Source organism: Homo sapiens, chromosome 10 (genome assembly GCF_000001405.40).
Source record: "Homo sapiens chromosome 10, GRCh38.p14 Primary Assembly".
In the NCBI taxonomy this organism is placed as follows: domain Eukaryota; kingdom Metazoa; phylum Chordata; class Mammalia; order Primates; family Hominidae; genus Homo; species Homo sapiens.
Window position 1 is genome coordinate 61,124,955 of NC_000010.11, and position 22,255 is coordinate 61,147,209.

Genomic DNA, 22,255 nt, shown 5'->3' on the forward strand with positions numbered 1-22,255 from the left:
ATGAACTTCCTTAATCTTCACAACACTGCGAGCTAGGTTTCTATCACTGTCTCCATTTTTACTGAGGAGGAACTGAGGCTCGGAGAGGTTAAGTAACTTGCTCAAAGTCCCTTGGCTGATATATAGGGACACACAAACACAAACCCATGCAGCCCAGATCCTTAACCACTCTACTAGGTCATAAAAGGAAGAGGGTTATGGGATAGATCCCACCTCTATGACTAACTAGCAATGAGACTCTTGGGTAAGTTATTTCACCCCTCTTTGTCTTAGTTTCTTTGTTACTGTGACTGAATAAGAGGCTGCATGTAAAAGTTGTCTCCTGGGGCCTGGCACAAAGTAAGTGCTCAGTAGTTAAAAGGGCCTGGCATGGCGGCTTGTACTTGTAATCTCAACTACACGGGAGGCTAAGGCAGGAAGAATCACTTGAGGCCAGGAGTTTGAGATCACTCTGGGCAACATACTGAGACCCCCTACTTAAATTTTTTTTAAAAATGGCTGAAAGGTTTAATGAGATCGAGTTATTAATTATAAAGACTAGCCAATATTTGGTCCTTAAATACACTAACAAAAAGGCAGACCAAAAACTATTTCTGACACGCTGTTAAATTCTCTTTCAAAAGAATAAAATCTCTCTTTCTTCTACCCATTTACCCCAGTCCCCTGAGGTCTGTCTCTCTGCTGGTTCTTGAGTTTGAGCTGCTTTTTACAGCCATCTGTTACAGTGTTGTGTAACAACAAACAATATCCTCCTAAAAATGTTTACAAATGCTTCTTACATTAGGGCTGTATATTTTTTCATTATGCTGTGGCATCTCCATTGAAAAATTATTTTAATCATTGCAAACTGAATTACACAAGGATAATGCATAAAGAGATAGTACTTAAAAGGCTGAATGTACATTAATTGCTTCAGCTAATGAAAGAAACATGACTTAGCCAATGCACACAACATGAATCCTAAGATGCATGGACAATTGACTACGGTAATAAAACAAGTATTAGTGTGTTAAATCTGAAATCCTCATTATGCTTCATGCAGCAAAACCGACTGTGTACCTGCTGTTCAGTGTGCATTTCCTCCTCTTGACACCAAGAGCTAATTATAGAACAAGGCACAGAGTGAAAGCATGTGACCTACGTTTGGGGACCTTCAACAACACTGCAAAGTTATGTTTGGTGACTTCTTATTTTCTTTTTAAGCTGATAAAATATGTGTTGGCCTAAATGATTTTGGAATATCTTGATGTTCTGTAGGCAATTTTAATTAAAATATGAATTATTTATATATGCACACAGTTTATTTCACTTACATTGGGATCTTGCTTTATCTCCCTTGGCTCTATCAATTAGTAAATTGTTAATGCAGGGATAATTTATGTCACAGTGTTCAAGATGCTGGCCATTGATTTCTTTGCCTGTCTTTCATTTCACGAACCCAAAGTAAAGATGATGATAAAATCATGGCATTTAAGAGATAAGAAGAGAAGTAAATGTCTTCTTATTGCTGCTTATCTAGAATCACATGGCATAAATGTTATAGTAAGTTATAAACAGACTGCATTAACCTACCACCTTCCATTTATAGAGTAAAAATATCATGTTATTAGGAACCTCACAAAAAGCTGATATACTTTAAACCACCACCCCCATTTTTGAGAAACTTTGAGGGCACTACCAATATACTTCAAGGGATATGAACAGTTGGCTTAATTCAAAGTAACTGCTTGATATGGTTTGGCTTTGTGTCCCCACCCAAATCTCATATTGAATTGTAATCCCATAATCCCCACGTGTTGTGGGAGGGACCCAGTGGGAGGTGATTGAATCATGGGGGTGGTTTCCCCCATGCTGTTCTCGTGATAGTGAGTGATTTCTCAAGAAATCTATGGTTTTATAAGCATCTGGCATTTCCCCTGCTTGGGTTCATTTTCTCTCCTGCTGCCCTGTGAAGCAGTGCCTTCCACCATAATTGTAAGTTTCTTGAGGCCTCCCTGGCCGTGTGGAACTTTCAGTCGATTAAACCTCTTTTCTTTATAAATTACCCAGTCTCATATATTTCTTCATAGCAGCGTGAGAACAAACCAATTACCATAAGTGGGAAAAGAAAGTATTTCTTTTCTGGTAGAACCAGATCTAGAAAATAAATCTTTTTCTCTTTCATAGTTTATACTACATGTTGTCTTTTTAAATTATTTTCTCATAAAGCCTTGGATATGTTTAAATGTATTTCTTTTGTGTTTCTTCCCAGATTTGTAAATTGATGACTTTGGTGCCAACTAGCCTCACATTTTGGATGGACACAAGGGCCTTTCAGAGTTCTTTTTAAAAAAAAAATGTTGGGCAAAATTCTCTTTAACTGGCAATACTTAAGAACTCTGCAGATCAGATTTTAGGTGATTTATTTAGATGTTTTTGTCTCTGAAGAAAATGATATATTGGCTTATTTATTGTTTCGACTAGCTAGTATATACTCTTTTGATCAATATTATTTTAATTTTTCAATTTTTCTAGTTCATTTATCAGAGTTCTTTAGAGATACCATTTGGAAGCATCTGCGAAGCCAAGTCAGCAACAGCCATACTTCAACAGCAAAAGTATAAATTAAGTAGAAACCCCAGGATCTCAATAAGTGACATTATGGGAAATTTTACTCTAAGGGTAGATTACAGAAAAAGTGGAAAATTTGTGGGAAGAGGTGAGAGAAATAAGGGGAAATGTTTTCAATCTATTCAACCTATGGTTCTAAATGATAATGCACACCAGAACTGCCCAAAGAACCTTTTATACATTTGGTCTTCAGGACCTACTCTGCAAAGATTCATCACATCCCAGCAGGGTCCTGGAAATCTGTATCACTCACAGATTACCTGAAACTAGTATAGAAACTGTCCAGAAGTGTTGATTTCCAAAAATTAAACATTTTTTACTCATTTAGTTACTCAACAAATATTCAGTGAGCCCTTAAGCCCTACCCCCAATCTTAGCCTTCAAGGAGGGCTTGAGGGAGTCTGGTAAGGAAGATAGATGAGAAAATAGCCAAGTTCAATTCAGCAAGATAAGTGGGTAAGAATGGGATGCTATGAGGAACATGGATCATTTAACCCAGTCTAAGATGTCATAAAGGGTTGGAGGAGATGGTTTCTAAGCTGAAACCGGCAAGGTAAAGAATAAGCAAAAGGTAGGAGGACTTGGCCTCTGTGTGTGTGTGTGTGTGTTTGTGTGTGTTGTGTTTTGCAAGGAGGCTGTGGGTTGTGGGGCTGGAGGAGGAGAAGGTGTGAGAAAGGTTAAGGAACTTGTTAAGACACATTTTCAGGTCTCAAGGAGCTTACAATGTAATTGGGGAGATAAATGATGGCAAAAGATTTTGGTAACAGATGAAGACAAGAGAAGTGACTTCCTAGGAAGCCTTTTGATCAATTACCAATGGAATAATGCAGACTCAGCATGCTACAGGATTTCTCTGGAGAAAGTATCTAGTTTCTTCCAGCAATAAAATTCTGTGATCTACAGACTTCATTCTGTAGTGGGAAAAAAGGTTTCATAGAAGAGGTAGGGATTCCACTGGGGACTGAAGTATGGGTAGATTTTTATAACTTTTTATTCTGATAGAATTTTAAGCTTACAGAAAAGTTACAAAAATACTATAAATCACCTTATGTTGTATCCATATTCACCGACTTACATCTTGCCCTATTTGCTTTTGTGCTCTCTCTTGCTCTGCGCACACACACACACACACGCACACACACACACACACACACACATACACACACCACAGATCCATTTTTTTTCTGAACCATTTGAGAGCAAGTTAGAGACATTGTGCTTCTTTACTCCTGAATACTTTGGTGTATATCTCCCAAGAAAAGAACATATACTCACATCTCACAGTAAAATAAACATGATATTTAATATTGATATAATACTATTATCTAATTGACAATCTTTCATCAAATTTTGTCAGTTGCTTCAATTATGTTCTTTATAGACTTTTCTTTCTTAGTACAGGATACAATTCAGATTCATGTATTGCATGTAGTTGTCTCTGTAATTGTCCATTCACTTAAACAGCTCTTTAACTTTTCTTTGTCTTTATTGATCCTGGCATTTTTGAGAAATACAAACCAGTTTTTTTGTAGAACATCCCTCAGTTTGGGTTTTTCCATTGTTTCTTTATGATTAAGTTCAGGTTGTACACTTTTAGACAGAAAGAAGAGAAGTTAGGTTGTGTCATTCTCAATTTATTATAGAAGGAGACACATAATATAGGTTTGCCTGAATACTGGTGATGCCAACATTGATAACTTGGTGGGGTGTCCTCTAGCCTTCTTCACTAGCATTATTCATTTTCCCCCTTGTTATTAATGAGAATTTTGTGGGAAATACTTTGAGGCTATATAAGTATCATGTTCCTTATCAGGCTTTCATACGATAGCTTGAACATCCGTCAGTGATTTTCTAATCTGTCATTGCTTCTATATTTATATTACTCCATCTATATTACTATAAGGAAGAGCTTTCCTGGCTCCCCTGTCTATTTATTCATTTATTTATATCAGTATGGGCTCATGGATTTTATTTTTTTTAATGGATTATAATCCACCACTGTCATTATTTATTTTCATGTTCAAATTTTCTCTGATTTTACCACTGGGAGTCCCTTCAAATTGGTTCCCGTGTCCTTTTGCTAGGTTCCATTGTATTTTGAACACTTTCTTACTTTCTGGAGTGGTATACTACTTCAAGCTTATGTTGTATTTTCCCTGTTCAAACCTTAGAATCTACCTTATGTCCAAGAAGTACTGGTTCCTAGTACCAAAATCTAGGTGCACTCATTGCTACTGGGGTCACAGTTTTTCTAGATTCCCTCGTTGGACAGGCTAGGATATAGATATCTCTATTTCTCTATTTATTTATCTATATTTTAAAAACCATGAGTTCATACTGATAATGGTAGATTCTAGTCTTTCTTGCCTTCATATTTCTCCAATTGCCAACAGTGAGAAACCTAGCTCAGAATACATACATTTTTAAAAGGCAGAGAAAAATAAGGAAGTTTTTCTGATCTTGAAGGATCTGTGAGATATCCAGGTGGAGATGGGTCTGGATCTGAGTTATCTCTATCAGTGAGAAAATTCCCATTGACTTATGGCAATTTATGAAGTAGAATAAATGCTAAGAATGTTGCAGTTGCAGGATCTGCATTGGAGTGAAGATTTTTTATTCACATATATGCCTTCCATTTTATACACAAAGAAAACATCATCTCTGGCTTTCATTGGTGGAGGATGGGGAGCCCCCTCAGTGCAAGAGGCTTGCATTGAAGTTAGTGGCTCCTTGTTTTTAACAGTGAGATATTTAAGGTTAACCTCCTATTGAACTATTTGTGGTGTCAGGTTTCTATACCAGGCAAGCTTGACCATAATTCCTATAAAACAAAACTCTCCTAAAAAACCTTCTTTCTAATAAATTTGGTTAAGAAGTTCATCTTTCAGGCTAAATGGTAAAACCTCTTCAAAACATAATTGCTGAGCTTTTGTTCAGGACTGAAGGAATCTCTTTTCATGACCTGTCTCCTTTCATAAACTTTCTAATCATGGACAGTCATTACAATGCTAGCCATGGTTGAGCAAGATTACTTTTACTAGTGATCCGCTGAAGGTAACTTGAGACTGCAAAACCAGATGCCAGAGTATCATTTATTTTTCAGCATGTGGTGAGAGAAAAGTCATTTTAAAGCTTTTTGCTAAGGTATGTGGGGATCACAAAATGTTTCCAAGTTAGACCAATGACTGTTTGCTTCTTCCTATCAGAGAAGGTACACTGAGTACTGGATGAACAAATTCTCTCAGCTGGGAGGTGTGAAATTGTGGCAATTGGAAAGAAAATTTTCCCTCTTCCAGGTGAAAAGAATTGTAGAAAATAATACTTTAACTGAAACCTTGGCCCAAGACACAGACTATTCCTTATAGGGTTACAAAGCTTGGAAGAACTTAACTTGATTACATGGAAGGTGTCAAGATCTAAGCCAGGCCAAAAAAATATGCCTGAAGCAAGGAAATTAAATATTTACATCAGGACTAATGCTTTTTGCCTTTTAACTGGAAGGGCAAGAGAGATTAACACAGGCCTGGCTCCTGAAACAAATATTTTGTCTATTTGGTGAAGTGTATTTCTGGGATAATTTTTTCTTTATATCTGAATTAGTTTTCCAGCCAGAGCCAGACTAATCAATAAGTGACGCAGGCATAGATTGATGTCTCCTGTTCCCCTCCTCTTATGATCTCCTCACCTACTCCCCAAAGTCTGACACTCCATTAACAAAGGGCTGCTTGTGTGCCATAATCATTTTGTAATAAAGAAACCAAATAATGTAGATAAAATATTTAACGTGGTGCATGTCACATAGAAAATACTCAATATTTAACAGTAATGATTATTATTTCACAGTTTCAAAGGTAGCTTCACAAAACTAGTTTTTGAGATGTCACATTATTTCCTTTAGATAAAATTGAATTCAGCTCTGAGTCTTTTTCTTTGTTCTCTTTCATTGGTAGGAAATTTTCTTTCAGTCATTATTAGGCTACCCCCTCCCAGTCCTGTGGCCTAATAGAGAAAAGAGTAGTTGTCTAAATACATATGGCCATTCACTGTTAGGGAACACTTGTATCTGCCTTGCTTGGTCCTGGGACTTTGCTGCACACTCTAAGGCCAAGGGCCTAGACCCCTGTGGGCCACCATTTAGTCCCTCTCCACTGAGGTCCCACAAGCTCTCTTTAGTGCTAGGGGTGAGTTCAGACCCAGTTCCCGAGGGACCCTCAGAATTTGTCCTGGACTTGGGGGTTCCCCTCTCTCCTGTTACTTTCTTTTCCCTCATTTATTCCTATGTCATATTTGCAAAGTCTCTCTCCTTTCACCCCTATAGCAGGGTCTCCAGATTTAGAAAAAAGAAAAGAAAAGAAAAAAAATCTCTGCCCAATTAAATTTGAATTTCAGATTAACAACATTTTTTTTTAGTATAAATATGTTCCATGCAATTCTTGGGACAAACACTAAAAAAATCATTTATCTAAAATGTATATTTAACTTGGCATTCTATATTTTATCTGGCAGCATTACCCTAAGGGTTTCTGCTTTGGAAAGACCCAGGAATGGAAGTTTTGGGTAGGGTCAGATCTTTCAGTGCAAATATTCATTGAGATAGAAGAACAATCTGCATAGACTTAGAAAGGTACAGGGGAAAACCCAGGATCGACAAAATAAAAAATAATATCCATAAATAATCCTGTTACTCTCGTCATCATTGTAGTTTCCATCATCATGTTTATTCCCATCATGATCATTGCCCAAGGTGAGTTGTTGTTAAAGACTCAAGCCCCCTGGGGAAGGCCATAATTCATGGATCTTTTTCTGAACACAGTTTAAATTAAGATAAAAGAGAAGGAGAAACTAGGAGGCATGGGAAGGATGCAAGCTGAGTCAGTGGAACAGAAAGCAAGAGGAAGAGGTTAGGGCCAGAAAGGCAGCTTTACAGCTCATAATTTCACTGATTGGCTTGACTCGGGCAGCACAGGCTGGTAGAACACACTCTAGCCTGACTTCATTCAAGTCTCAGCACCACCACCACCAAGCCATGTAGCTTGGGCAGGTCACTTGACTTGTTCCTCCAGCTGAAATCCCTCATGAGATTCAAACCCAGCAATGCACCCAAATGTTTCCTAAGTGCCCCAAAGTCAACATGTACAAATGCAAATGCAAACTCATCTTCCTCTTCTCCAGACCTGCCATCTCTATATTAGTGAAATGATACCACCATCTTCACAGGGATCAAGGCAGGACACCTACAAGTCATCTTAGACCTAGCTGCAATGTGTTACTCCTGGTGACTGCCACAGTGAATTACCTGGCTGGTAAAGCCTACATCCTCTGCCTCCTTCTCTGCTATGAAAAGTGAGGAGCTTCTCAGACAGAAGAGGCCCATTTGAGGTAGGAGCTGGGACTTTACTTTGGAGGCAGGGCTTAGACTACAGGCCAGATTGAAGACTGGCTTAAACAGGGAAAAGGAAAACACCTCTCCATGAGACATGCCCAACAGTGCCATGTCAGTTTACCATTGCCATGGTAACACCCAGAAGCTACCATCCCTTTCCATGGCAATGAACGAATGATCCACAAGTTACCACCTCTTTTCTAGAAATTTCTGGATAATCTACCCTTTAATTTGTGTAGAATTAAAATTAGGTATAAATATGACTGTAGAACTGCACCTGAGCTGCTACTCTGGGCATACTGCCTATGGATCAGCCCTGTTCTTCAAAAGCAGTACCTCTGCTGTATACTACCACCTCAATAAAAGTTGCTGTCTATTACCACCACTTTGCTCTTGAATTCTTTCCTGGGCAAAGTCAAGAACCCTCCCAGGCTAAGCCCCAATCTGAGGCTTTGCTTGTCCTGCATCACATCCACACTTTTCCAGGAGGACAAAGACACAATGAAGTGTTCAGAGAAAGCAGCAAATGGTTCTTCTGTACATTTAGGGGAAAAGTTGAATTACATATCCTCCTGTATTTTTACAATGACTTTGTGATAGTCCACTCTATCTTTCTTTTCTTTAATTGACTTGAACAAGTCTCTGTTCCTGTCTATCAAAATAACAAACAGAAAATCATTTTACTCTCTTTTTCTCCATGGACATTTTACCAGAAGATGTTGAACAAAACTAGAGTGGCAGGGTACTACTGGGGGATATTTACAGCCTGGGGAACTTCTTGTGTCTTCCAGAGCTAAAAAATACATATTAGAACTTACCATAATGGCAATCTTCTTAATAATATCCCAATGAACAGAAAATTATTTTGGATGAATCCATTGAGTTTAAACCCAGTAGAACAAGGTAAAAAGGCTTTTGAAAAGAAGCAACCAATCTTCTCTACTCTTAAAATAGCCTTTTCTTTCCCATAGAACATAGAGAAAGAAACCAAATAAGTGGGAAATGGATGAGAAAGCACAATCAATACTAATTCATGGTTCCTGCTTTGAAAGGCAGCAAAAAGTCATTCATAATCTCATGTGCTTTTCTAGTTGTGTCACACGAAGGCCTATGGTAAAAGGATAAGAGGAAAAGTAAGGTCATTACCCATGTTTGAAAAATTGTTAAATTGTTTGCGAAAGGAAAAAAATCTCTTCTTAATAATGTCAGAGACACAGGACCTAAGTGAAATCAATTTTGGGTAGTTTGGGATCATTCTAGCCCAGTCAAGAGAAAGTTTCAAAACGGACTGTAGCAATGAGGTCCATTTGTTATAAAACCACCCTAGAGGAGAATGCACATGTAGGCACACGAACACATGCACACCCCATACTTTGTATTTTTTATATATTTGTGTATATAAAGTGTTCTGTGTTTAAAATTTTATATATATTATTGACACTCAAAGTATAAATTCCTGACCCTCTCCCAACAAAAATTAGATTCAGAATTAAGTTTAGATCTTTGGTCAGCTTTTGGTAGGGTTTGCAAATAATTGAATATAGAAAGCAAGTGTTTTCTGTTTTCTGAGTTCTATAAGAATCCAGTGTGTGTATATTTGCATGTGTGCATGCATAGAATTCTTTCCCTTATGGTTTGCGATCATCCTACTTTATGCCTCTCAGATATTTAGCTAGGAAAATGACTCAAGTTTCATAAATGTCATTCCAATATCGGATCATATCCAGAGCTGTTGGTGTGTTTGATGGAGACATACCTTAAGCAACTGTTTATTGAGTGCCTGTTAAGTACTAAGTACCTTCTTCATGACAATCCTCCTAGTTCAGATTTGTACCCATTTTTCAGGTTAAGTCACTTACTCAGGATCATGTTTGACCCCCAAGTAACTGAGCTGGAATTCAGTTCTATGGTGCCAAACTTGAAAGCCCAATCTTCCCATGACTAGTGATGACTCTATGGATCCTGGAGACAGACTGACTTTGAATCCTGTTCCTGTTGCTTTCTAGCTGTTTTACCTTTGGCAAATTACATAATTTTTGTGCCTTAGTGTCCTCATCTGTAAAATGAAAATAATAGTCATTTTAATATTATTTATTTCTTTGCTAATCATTTATTAATTTAATAAGAAATTGCTTAACAAGATTGTTGGGAGGATTAAATCATACAATATATATAAAGTGCTTACCCAACCCATTGTAAGATCCCATCTATATTGGTCATTGTCATGATTATTCTGTACTTTGGCAAGAGATTCAAGCCTTGAAGCTCTCATGGCCCATGGAGATGCTAGTTTACTAGCAATTTGCCCCATAGACTGGTTGGTTCATGGCTAGCAGCAACTACTTTACCTGTCCTATCTCTACGTGCTTCTAAATGGGGGAGGGGAGGGGCTCCAGGGTGTGTAAGCACATCAAATGCAGACAGGATTTCCCCAAATGCATTGCAGGTGCCAGAGGACTGGCAAGCCCATGTTTACTTTCTAGATTACTTGGGAAAACTTGAGAACTCGCTGATGGTGGGATGGCTTTTCAATTAGAATAACCTCACTCAAAATCATACATATTTTTTCCTTTTGGGAAGTATAACTTGTTTGATTCTAGTGTCCAAAACTTACCTTCTCTGAATGCCTCCCACCATGGTGCCTGAGCGAGGGGCTTTCCACTTCAGAATGAGGTCATAAATATGCAAATATTCTTCTCTGTGGAGTTGACTTTACCAGGCTCATTTACAAAGTTACTCAGCTGTGACTTGGCCACTTAAATAACCCTGTTGCTTAAAGATATCCCTTACTCCAGCCATTTACCCTCTAAACCATGTTCATGTTATAGAAAAATACAAATACAAGCACGTTCTGCACGAGCAGTATTACAAAGCTGTATTTTGTCAGTTGTAAATTATATCTGGTTTTGAGGGAGGAAAGGGAGATCAACAATTCTATATTCTATGAAACAATTTCATAAGAAATATTAGACCCTCATAATTCTGAAGTCTCATATGCTAGTTTTATTTTGTTCTGGTAGGTTTTAGAAGCAAACAATTCTCTGGGTGCCTAAAAGTAATGCCTAGGTTTCTGTTTTTACATATTTAAGCTATGCATTTAGATACAATTCAAGCATTCCAGGGTGTTAACGGTGTTTACAAAGAAAACTGCCAGAGGCAAATTCAGGCAGTTTCTTAAATTAATAATGCTTTTGTTCAAACTCCAATTTTTTCTTCCAGTTCTGCTAGAACCAATGTGCATCTTCCCCATTTGTTCAGAGGATAATGATGACAATTTCCATTTACACATTGCATTTCATCTGGAAGGCACTCTCTCTCACACACTACATCACTGTCTTCCACCTTCAGCATGGCAACAGGAAATGCCAACTGCATTATCACAGTCATTGGTCAGTGAGGAGAAGAGAACCCCCAAAGCAAACACCGCATCAGAGGCTGGAAGAAAGGCAGGAAGGCCAAAAGTGCAGTCAACACATTGCTGTGTTTGCTTGGAAGGTAGGTCTGGTTCAAGGAGCAGAATGTCTTCCAGTGACCACCCCTGTATCTTTGTAGGAATAAGTGGGACTGCGGAGCTAGTGGTTTGGAGCTAGACAGACGCACATTTAAGTCATTGGCTTATCACTTTCTTGTCAAGTGTCTTTAGGCAAATCAGCTGATCCCTTTGAGACTTGGTTTTTGCAACTCATTACAGGGGAAGAATAACTCCTACTTTCCAAGGTTATATATGTGGGATATATATGAGTAAATCATGTTATAGGGGGTTACTAAATGTTCTCCAGGATTTGCTGTGATTACTAGTGTTGCTATAGTTACTGTCAGTCACTACTACCTATACAGTTGAATATAATAGGTGTTGTGGACCCTCTTCAAATTGTCTGATCTTAAGTCCTAACAATGGAGACAATCTTGTGGTTTGCACAAAAGAGGGAGGGGTGTTATCACCCAAGGCCCAAATTATAATGCCCTTTTATGGGGCAAGGAGAACATATGGTGTTCCATTAGCATAGCCTACACAAATACTTTACACAGTGATTCTCACATTTTAGTTTGTCTAAAAGTCATCTGAAGTGCTTTTAAAAATACAGATTGCAGGGCCCTGCCCTAGAGTTTCTGATATGGTAAGTTTTGGGGCCCAATAATTTGCATTTCTGAAGAAGTTTCCCGGTAGTGGTAGCACTGCTCTGGGGACAACACTCCAAAGACCGCTGCATATGAGGTGATCAGGTAGCTAATTACCATCCTGGAAGCCACTGATAGCCTACTCTCCAGAAGGTGTTTTGTGTTGGGGGCCAGAGATTTCAGAAGAGGCTGGGCATATTAAAGGTGAAGCCAGGGATAGGTTGAACACCTGCAGAAGGTAAAGACTTGGGGGGCAGGGCAGGTGTCAAGATCCTGTGGCCCCTATTTCACAGTTGCATCTATACTTGCTTGGCTTGGCTTGGCTCAGGGTTTCTGTCCTTTCTCCCCTTCGTGGCTTCCTCTTTCTCTTTTTCAATCTCTCTCTCTCTCTCTTTAGGATCTAATACTTTTTATTATAATGTCATTGAAGCACAAATATAAAACTAGTTACAGTTACCTTGTGCCTATAGCTCTTGCATAGTCAGCTGGGCCATAACAAAGCACACGGGCTGGTGGTTTAAGCAACAGGAATGCACTGTCACAGCTCTGAAGGCTGCAGGTGGAAATCAAGGTGTCAACAGGGCTGGGTTCCTTCCAGGGGCTTTCTCCTTGGCTTGGAGATGCTGTCTCCACTCTGTGTCCTCACATGGTCATTCCTCAGTGCATGTGTGTATCTTAAACTCATCTTCTTATAAGGACATCAGTCAGACAGGATTAGGGCCCAGCCTAATGACCTCATTTTAACTTATTTACCTCTTTAAAGATCTTATCTCCAAATATGGTTGGTTATGTTCTAAGGTACCAGGGGCTAGGACTTTAACATGTCAATTTTGTGGGATACATTTTACTGGCTTCCTCTTTCTAACCACTCCTACCCTCATGGAGTGCCCCTTTCCACTGAGTTGTCTCCAGACTGGCTGATGAATAGACAAGGAAAGAAAGCCTCAGGTGGTAGAAACAGCAAGCTAAGTGGCCTGAAAGCTGGATTCCAGTAGCTAAAAGCAATTTGACTTTGTTGGAGCCTAGAATGCAAAGAGATAGCAGCTTGGGAGCCTGCTGTGGAGTGACAAAGGCAGAAGTCAGGTCACCAATTGGACTCGATCCTAAATACTACGGGATACTACTGAAGGTCATTTATAGGAAGGGACAGTACTTGGTTTGTAATTTAAAAGTCTCACTTTTCTTGCAGTGTGAGAAGTTGACTGGAGAGCCTTGAGCCTGGAGACAGGGAGACCAGAGAAGGGGATGTTGTAGGTGTTTTGGCATGAGACCATGGTGGCTTCCACCTGGGTGAAGCAGCAGGATGGGAAAGACTTCTTGAATCACTATTTAATTATAATCAGAGTTTTGAACCATTTCAGTCATTTATTCCAGTCGTTTATTGTAGTGACTCCCACACTTCAGTAGACAAAGCAATCTGAGCGGGTCCCTGCAACACAGTTTCTGATTCAGTGAGTCGGAATGAGGTCCAAGAATTTCCATTTTTAATAATTTCCCAAGGGATGCTGATTCTGATGCTGCTGGTCTTGGGACCAGACTTTGAGAACCACTGACTTATTCCTATTTTGCTACCAAGAGAATTACAGCCTTGAACCCTTCCAGCTAATAGGGCCTCAGCTTTTGGTAACCAGCGTCAGTATGCTTAAATAAAACATTGAACCTGTTCACTAAGATTCTGCTCCTCCAGCATCTGCATCAGTTCACCAAGCTCTCTCAGGCTCTAATTTGTCTTCGTGAACCATCAGCCTTGCTCTAACTTTTCCAACAACTGCTTCCTCTCAGGCTTCACTTGGCTTCTACAGCAAATGGAACCTGCTCATCCCCAAGAGATTCTAATTAACTCTCTTGGGGCCAACTCCCTGAGTGAATGACTTGAATAACTCAGCATGATTGCAATGTTTTATTTATTTAAAGATTCCAAATTCTTCTACCCTGCATGCCTATGTTAAACAAGGACAACCCAAAAAACAATCATGAATTAAAGAAATGCTTCTTTATACCCTGAGTTGTTCCTCTGTTCTCCGACTCTTTCCATGTTCCTTTAACTTTCACAGATGGCCAATCTTTCTTGATTTTAATTTGGCAAGGGCCCTCCTTAAACATATTTTGATGATGGTAATAGAAAATAAAAATTAACTACAAGACTGCTGTCCTAATCTGTCATTAACAGGTTTTTCTTCCTTTGGAAAGATTAGCAGAGTATGAATCATTTCAGAGGGCTTCTTTTTCTTTTCTTTTCCTTGCTTTGTTCCTCTCTCCCTTCCTTCCTCCCTCCCTTCCTTCCTTTCCTTCTTCCTTTCTTTTTCTTTCTCTCTCTTTCTCTTTTACTTTAATCTTCTTCTCTCCCTCCTTTCTTTCTTTCTCTCTTCTCCTTTCCTCCCTTTCTTTCTTCCTTTTTCTTCTTTTCCCTTTTTTTCCCCTTAGGCCCAACCCTTCCAGTCCCCGTTTTTTGCAGTGTCGAATTTCTTGCCACAAAATTGATGCAATTGCCGCATTCTCTGCAATGAATATACAGGCTCCCTTCTTGCTCTCAGAGAAGTGAAGCCTATCCTTGTTACCTTCAGCTCCCCGTACCAGTGAGCAACTTGGCCACGCAGGGACTTTAGGGCCTGAGAATGGATTCCTCGAAGTACTCTGCAGGAATTGATTAAAACAGGAAGGAGAGGGGCGGGGAGATGAGAGAGCCAGCAGAGGAAAATAACATGTTAGTGCTCCTTTGTGCCTTACTGAAGTCAAGGCTGACTTCATAGTGTCACTCAGGGAAGGAGGCCAGGATTCTAAAGAGGAGAAATGATTAAGAGGGAAGCACAGAGGAGGATGAATTCAGAACCAAGCAGGGAAAAAACCTCATACCAGCCATTATGATAAAATCAAGTAGGTGCAAGGAAATGAATGGGCAATTTGAGAGTGAAAATTATTTTATATCAGGCAGAAGACAGGATTCAAGGGTACTTCTAGCTTCAGGTATCTCTCACCATGCAATGTATTGATGTTGAGCTGTAAAATAAATTACTTAGAGTCTAACTTTCCCATTGGTTTTATTATTAAAGTTATTTTATAATATAATTTTATAATATAAATACATTTAATATATACTTATATGAATATAAATATATTTATATTTTAAATATAATAATGTTATGTGTTTACAAATGATTCTAAGTTATATAAATTATTTTCATAAGCTATACAGATCTTTCTAATGAGTGAGGTGAGGACTTTTGATGAGCAAGAGGAGGAGTTGTAGGCTGCTCCTGTGGCATGCTGGGTGTTTTAGAGAATTGAATGGGATTTGACTTTCCTCATTTTCCTTGTTTTTGTTCTTACAATCTGATTTTTTAATAATGGATCCTTCCTTTCTTTCTACCCTTGGTAGAAGTAAGAAGTATTTATTTCATACTTAGAAGTCCCTAGTTTCCATATTTACAATGCCAAATTTAATCTCCTTATCTTTTGCCTAATTTGAGCATAGAAAAAAAATTTTTTTCATTAACTTGGATTCCAGATTTGCAATCTGTGAGCTTTCAGATAGTGTCACTTAAGAAAAAAATCAATCAAGATAGGGTCATACAATTTTTGTCCACTTAGGGGAACAAAGTGACATTGAGAATTTTTAAAACTTCAATTAAGAAAAGAATTAATTGCAATTTAAGGCAAATCACTACAGTATAAGCTGAATATTTGCTACAGTAAACAAAAATATTGTCTGTAAAGACATAGACGAACTCACTTTGTGTCTAAGTCAAATTACCTAGAGTATTTGAATGAGGCAAAAGCGTGTAAAAGTGATGTTCTCCTACCATGGATTTCGCCCAGTTCAGTCTGGCTGTTTTCCATTGTGTCTGACTTCCAGAGGTTTTGTAGTACAATGTTCAGCAGTTCTGGTTGAAAACACTACATTTCACCAATAGGTGTCACTGTCTAACGCATGATATATTCAGACATTTAAAAAAATTATCATGTATGGATTTCGAGGTTCTGTAATTCTAATGAATTCCATACTTTATCAGTGTCGCAGTGTAGAAACATTGAGCATTAAGTTTCTATAGAGCAAAGACTCTAGAGGCTGCTGGGGGCAGAGGAAGGAGGTGGATCAGATACAGAATTCTAGCATTTTAGCTATTTCAGGGGGAAGTTAAGAGTAACAGTACGGATCTTGAGCTCACTGGCACTCAGAAGACTGTGATCAAGCTGATGACATAAATAATTTGAACAATTGCTTCTTGAGGCTCAATTGCTTTTTCCCCCCTTTAATCAGTGAAGAGTTGCCCTTGAACACTTGACAAAGCAGGCAGTATTTAGGGATTAGAAAAAGAGAAGAGAATCACTGTTTTGTCAAATTCTCTTAAAGATTTAAAGGCCTAAGTTGAATTCCCCCTCAACTTTTTTTTTTTTTTTTTTTTTAGACAGGGTCTTGCTCTATCACCCAAGATGGAGTGCAGTGGCATGACCATAGCTCACTGCAGCTTTGAACTCCTGAGCTCAAGCAATGCCCCCACCTCAGCCTCCCTAGGAGCTGGGACTACAAGGTGCATGCCAGCACACCCAGAAAATTTTTTAATTTTAATTTTAATCTTTTGGTGGAGATGAGATCTTGCTATGTTGCCCAGGCTGTTCTCAAACTTCTGGCCTCACGGGATCCTCCCACCTCAGCCTTCCAAATTGCTGGGATTACAGATGTGAACCTCCACACTGGTCACTTTCATCTTGATGGTACAAGAAGAAAGTTGCTTTTCCATGAACTTTAGTGAACCTCATGGAAAGTTTATTTTTTATCAACTGCTTTAAAATTTATTATGGAGGTTTTTGAACCTATACAAAGTTAGAGAGAATAGTATGATATACCTTGATGAGCATATGACACAGCTTTAACTATTATCAATGTATGGCCAGCCCTGTTTCATCTGTACCTTCTCACCTCTGCCTTACTCTACTGGATGATTTTGAAGTAAATACTAGACATGATATAACTCCACCCCTATATATTGATGTATGTATCTCTAAGAGACAAGAACACTATTTTTAACCATTCTTAATATCTTAAAAATTAACATTATTTTTAATATAATCTAATATGCTGTCAGTATTCAACTTTTTTCTTACTGCTCCATAAATATCTTTTCTTTTTCAATTGGTTTATTTGAATTAGGATTCAAATTGCTTTTGGAGGATGGGTTTTATAAAACTCTTCTAAGGTGTAATAGTTTTCTTCTCTCTTTTTAAAAATGCTATTTCTTTGCTTGAAGAAGCTGGATCTTTTGTTTCATAGAATATCCTGCACTCTCGAGTCAGCCTATTACATCCTTGTGATGGCATTTGGTATGGTCATCTATCTTTTGTGTATTTCTTGCAAACTGAAAGTTATATCTAGATGCTTGATTTTATTCATGTTCAATTTTTTTGAAAACACTTTTTATAGATGATGCTCTATTTTTGTCATTGTATCACATAAGAAGCATATGATGTTTGACACACACACATACTCTGTCTGCTGTATTTAATTTTTTACTTTATTTATTTATTTTTTAATGTTAAGATTACCTAAGGATTCAGGTGCTATCAGCCCGATTCATGAATCATTAGTTTTAGCAATCATGACGACCATTGTGTTGACCTATTATTTCATTGGGGATTAAAAATGGAGATATTCTAATTCAATCATCCCTTCTGCAGTTACTAAATGGAATTCTCCAAGAATTCTTCCTCGTCAACTATTTGACTCCTTTGGAATACAGTTTGTGTAGGAAAGGCAGGATAAATGCTTGAATTTTATCTCCCCTTTATTTACCAGATGAAGAATGAGGAGTTGCTGCTTTAACAGCTTTCAAATGAGACAAAAGAGGTGTTTAAAAAATATATCCTTATTACCTTGATTAAAAAAAATTTGATGTGTTTCATCTTTAGTTGATAGGGAGTTTTGCTTTAACTTGACTCCAATTATCTCTTGACATGACCCTAGTGAATGGGGATAGCCTCTTTGCTTTCTGGTATGACAAGATGTTTCAGGCTCATATTGTGAATTTATTCTACCAGACCTGAAATCAGTCACTTCTCCAATGATACAAGGTTCTTTTTGTGGAGATGGTATTTAGAAACCACAATCTCAACACTAGGGGTGCTCTGTACCACTTAGGTGGTCATTACTTTTAGACCTTTGTGTAAATAGAAGTAGGTAATAGGTAATACATATACACACACACACATTAAAAAATACATCATGAGAATATTAGGCTTTTAATTTAAATGCAAATCTACAGGTCTCATTGAACAATATTTCCATTTAACTACGTTTCAGGCTTTTATAAGATCCAGCTTAGGGAAAATTGAATTCATGACATTTAGTTTGAGTTTAGTGAAAAATATTTATGTGATTTTTTAGTTGCTATTGTGTGTGGTGAAGCTATTATTAATCTTCAGTGTATAGAACCATTACTTCTCTGGTTCCCAGAAGTAGAAATGTGAATGATGGAGAGAAAAATAGATTTGCAATGTATGGAACCTGAAGCTGGTCTCTGAAAAATTCTTCTAATCATCAGACATGTTTAATTTTTAGTGGAGGAGTCAGTTCTCATCAACATCTAGTCAAAATGAAAGTGCTCTGCTGTTAGGAATATATTTGATAAAGCAGTATATATTACTGTAAAAGCAACATACACATTTTTAAAATTTATTTTGTCATAATTCTTGTTTTTAGGGTACAAATTTACAATGGGAGTGTACAAACAAGTACATGTTTTTGTGAAGTTGCATATTTTATGTATCCCAGTTATCAATAACAAAACTAATTTTGATTTATTATTATAGAAAAGATTAAGGGCTGGGCATGGTGGGTCACACCTATAATCCCAGCACTTTGGGAAGCCAAGGTGAGTAGATCACTTGAGCCCAAGAGTTCAAGACCAACCTGGGCAACATGATGAAACCCCACCTCCACAGAAAATACAAAAATTAGCAGGGCTTGGTGGCATCTGCCTATAGTCCCAGCTACTCGGGAGGCTGAGCTTGAAGGATCACCTGAACCTGGAAGGTGGAGATTAAGGTGAGCCACAGTTGTGCCCCTACACTCCAGCCTGGGCAGCAGAGCCAGACCCTATATCAAAAACAAAAGCAAAAAAGATTAAATTATCTTTCTATTCTTTTATAGGAATTGATATTAGGAAATTGTTCTTATAGGAAGAGATGATAAAAAGATTTATAGTCAAAACTGTAAAGAATGCATACATTATAAAGGTATCTTAGGCACTTAGTTTATAAAACTGTATTGGGTTTTTTTTAAATTTTGTGACAGTTGAGTATTTGTCAGCTATTTCAAATTCCTTGTTTGTTGTGATTTCTTAATCTAAACAAATATGCACTTCCACCCCTAATTTGTATTTTAAATTTTATACTATTATTTTTTGAAGTGGTCCCCCCAAACTGCAGAAATCCGAGACCCCACAAAATCTGGAATTACCAGGTGTTGGTTGCTTTTCATTTAACCTTTGCCATTTTTAGCCCTTCTCTGCCCTATTCTGTACCCTAGGACCCTACAGATTTTCTCAGCTGGGCTTACCTGTTCTTTGGCTTCAAGAAGAGAAAAATGTTGGAATATTCATTCTTTTTGCTTCCTTTTGTCTCTCATCCTAGTTGCAGTAGTGAATGTACTCTGCTAAGACCTCAGGACTTGGTGGAAGGCTCACACTTCACAGTTTCAGCTTTTATGGGGCCTTGTAACACCATTTTCTCCATTTTCCCTTTCAGGCCTGAGATATAAAGACATTCTCCAAGGTTTCATTATCCTTACTGATTTCCTTAATCCTCTTCAAGACTTAACTATTCACTTCTGTTGTTAAATTCTTTAGTTAAACTCTCTCGAGTATGGATTTGTTTTCTGCTAGGACTGATGTGGATATTGAGGTTAAGCCTGAGTAGAGAAGTCTGGGATGAGGAATTAGCCAAAGTTTATTGGCTCCTTTTGATGCATGTGATACCTCAGTTTGCACGTTCCCTTTGCATCCAAAAGCTCTTCTGTATCTGGACCCTGTTCAGGGCATGGGACTCTTTGGCAAAGCAAAGATATCCTGTGCTTAGATTTTAGGCTGCACTGGGACACCAGTTCCTCCTGCCCCCAACCTGTGGGCATGCCTTTTTCTAGAGTGTCACAACAGCATGTGAGTCTTTGATACCCAGGATACCTGTATTCAGTCCTCTGCAATGTCTGGAATTATTCCCCTTTTGCTTGCTGCTCACATGGGTGCATTCCTCTCTTCCCTCCTTCTCTAGTATCTTTAGTATGGTATCTGCCTCTAGTCAACATTTATTTTCTATAAGAAGAGTTTATGATTTCACATAACTTATGGTTTCTGTCTTGCAAAAATCTCTGAGGCATTATGTAGAGGATCTGAATAAAATGAGTAAAAAGGGAAAAATATAGAGAGAATCAAAAAACTTAAAATTATGTTATTATGCCCCAAGACCATCCAAAATTTTTGCAGGGTATTTATTAGTGTGATACAAACTGTTTCCTGGGACCCATGCAGGGCAGATCTTGGCCTGGTTATTTTCAGATCCATACTCTGTCTTTTTCTTCTGCCCTGGCCAGTATTATAAGAAACTACATTTGTCAGGCTTCCAGTCCTCTAGTGTCTGTTCAGGTTTGGCCAATGGGATACACTGGTACAAAGAATATATAAAAGAGAGAACCCAGGGTATGCCTTCTCTTTTCTCTGCTTTTGGTCAGGTCTTTGGCAGCATCTCTGTGCATCTTCTATGTATCCAGATCCTGCTGGAAGGCACTCCTCCTCATGGTCCAACTTCTAGTCTGTAACTACCTCCTGGATTTGAAAACACGGCCTCTTCCTATGTTTCTCCAGCCCTTTTTGTTGTTGTTAATTTCTGGGATGCCTCACCATCTCCTATTTGACTTTTTGGTTCTTTAATCACCTGGATAATCAATTCCCTAGATTAAATTTTATCCGGTTGAAATAGCTAGAGTGGTTTCTGTTTTCTGATTGAAATTAAAATAATACATCATATTTCTTCCCAGTGGAAGAATTTATCTTCAGCTGAGTCTTCATTTCTGTCTGAGACTGTATATAAAAAATAGCAACCCAATCAATCTAAATAAAAAATGATTTATCAAAAGTACACAGATCTTATGAAATTCAAGATTGATTGAGAGTACACAGAATGTGAACTCTGTTCTATTGTCTATTCTGGGCAAGTTTAGCCCTCAGACAGTAGTATGGATAAGGAGACCAAACAGATTTAGCAGCTGGCTATTTTACTGCAGCTCCAGGTCTGCTTGTACAAGGTTCCGGAAAAAACTCTTTCCTCTTTCCAGTCCATGGTTGATTTCAAGTAGTGAAAGGAGGAGAATGTGGTTATATAGCCATATGATTTATCATCCATTTAGACTTGATCAGAGACAGTGGGAGGACAATGGGGGTCCTCCAGGTCAATGGTACCTGGAGGACTTCCCAAGATACTGGCTTATGTTTACTCTCAAATTTCAAATTATTTTGCTTTATTTTAATCTATGTAACTAACACTTCCCGCACTTCTTTCCAGATCTCTTCTAATTAATTTTATTTTTGCTTTATTTTCATGTATGTTTTTCTAATTAGAGTATCTTTAGTGTGGGGAAATATCTCTGTGTCCAGGACAAAAAAAGAATGGGTCATGCGCAGACATTTGGTCAAACTTCAGCTATAATGATGAGGTTTAATTTTATTTCATGTAGCATTCTTCAGTTTTCCCCTTATTATTTTGACTGTATTTCCATAAGATCTTAGTGACTTAAAAATATTCCTCCAATTTCACTGACTATACATATTTTATTTTTAACTGTATCCTTTTCCAAAGCAATAGCTTCCTCCTCTGATCTATGCTGCTCTGTCAACAAATCGTATTTTAGGATGAGCAAGAACCAGGGCAGTACTAAGGACCCTTTGCTGCAAGAGTCTGTGGATTTCATTCCAGTGCCCCAATATTAATGTGTCTCAGGTCCCATCTGCCTCCAGTTCTGAGTGGTGGGCAGCATGGGCTCAAAGATTTGAACAAGGTGGTCTCTAGTTGAGCATTCTGTCTTTGTCTCTTAGTTGATAGCTAATTGTTAAGAGATTTGATAACTATCTTAGTATTTTATCTATTTCTTCCCCTCTA

The 22,255-nt window shown here is 38.1% G+C and overlaps 2 annotated features.

Moving 5' to 3' along the window:
- Positions 10,565-10,794: an enhancer, noted in NCBI's record as "active region_3396". NCBI's record gives its function as "activates an Ori minimal core promoter by ATAC-STARR-seq in GM12878 lymphoblastoid cells {active_cell/tissue: GM12878}" and the evidence as "EXISTENCE:reporter gene assay evidence [ECO:0000049][PMID:35858748]".
- Positions 11,217-11,511: an enhancer, noted in NCBI's record as "tiled region #6196; HepG2 Activating non-DNase unmatched - State 8:EnhW". NCBI's record gives its function as "activates a minimal TATA promoter and a strong SV40 promoter by Sharpr-MPRA in HepG2 cells {active_cell/tissue: HepG2}" and the evidence as "EXISTENCE:reporter gene assay evidence [ECO:0000049][PMID:27701403]".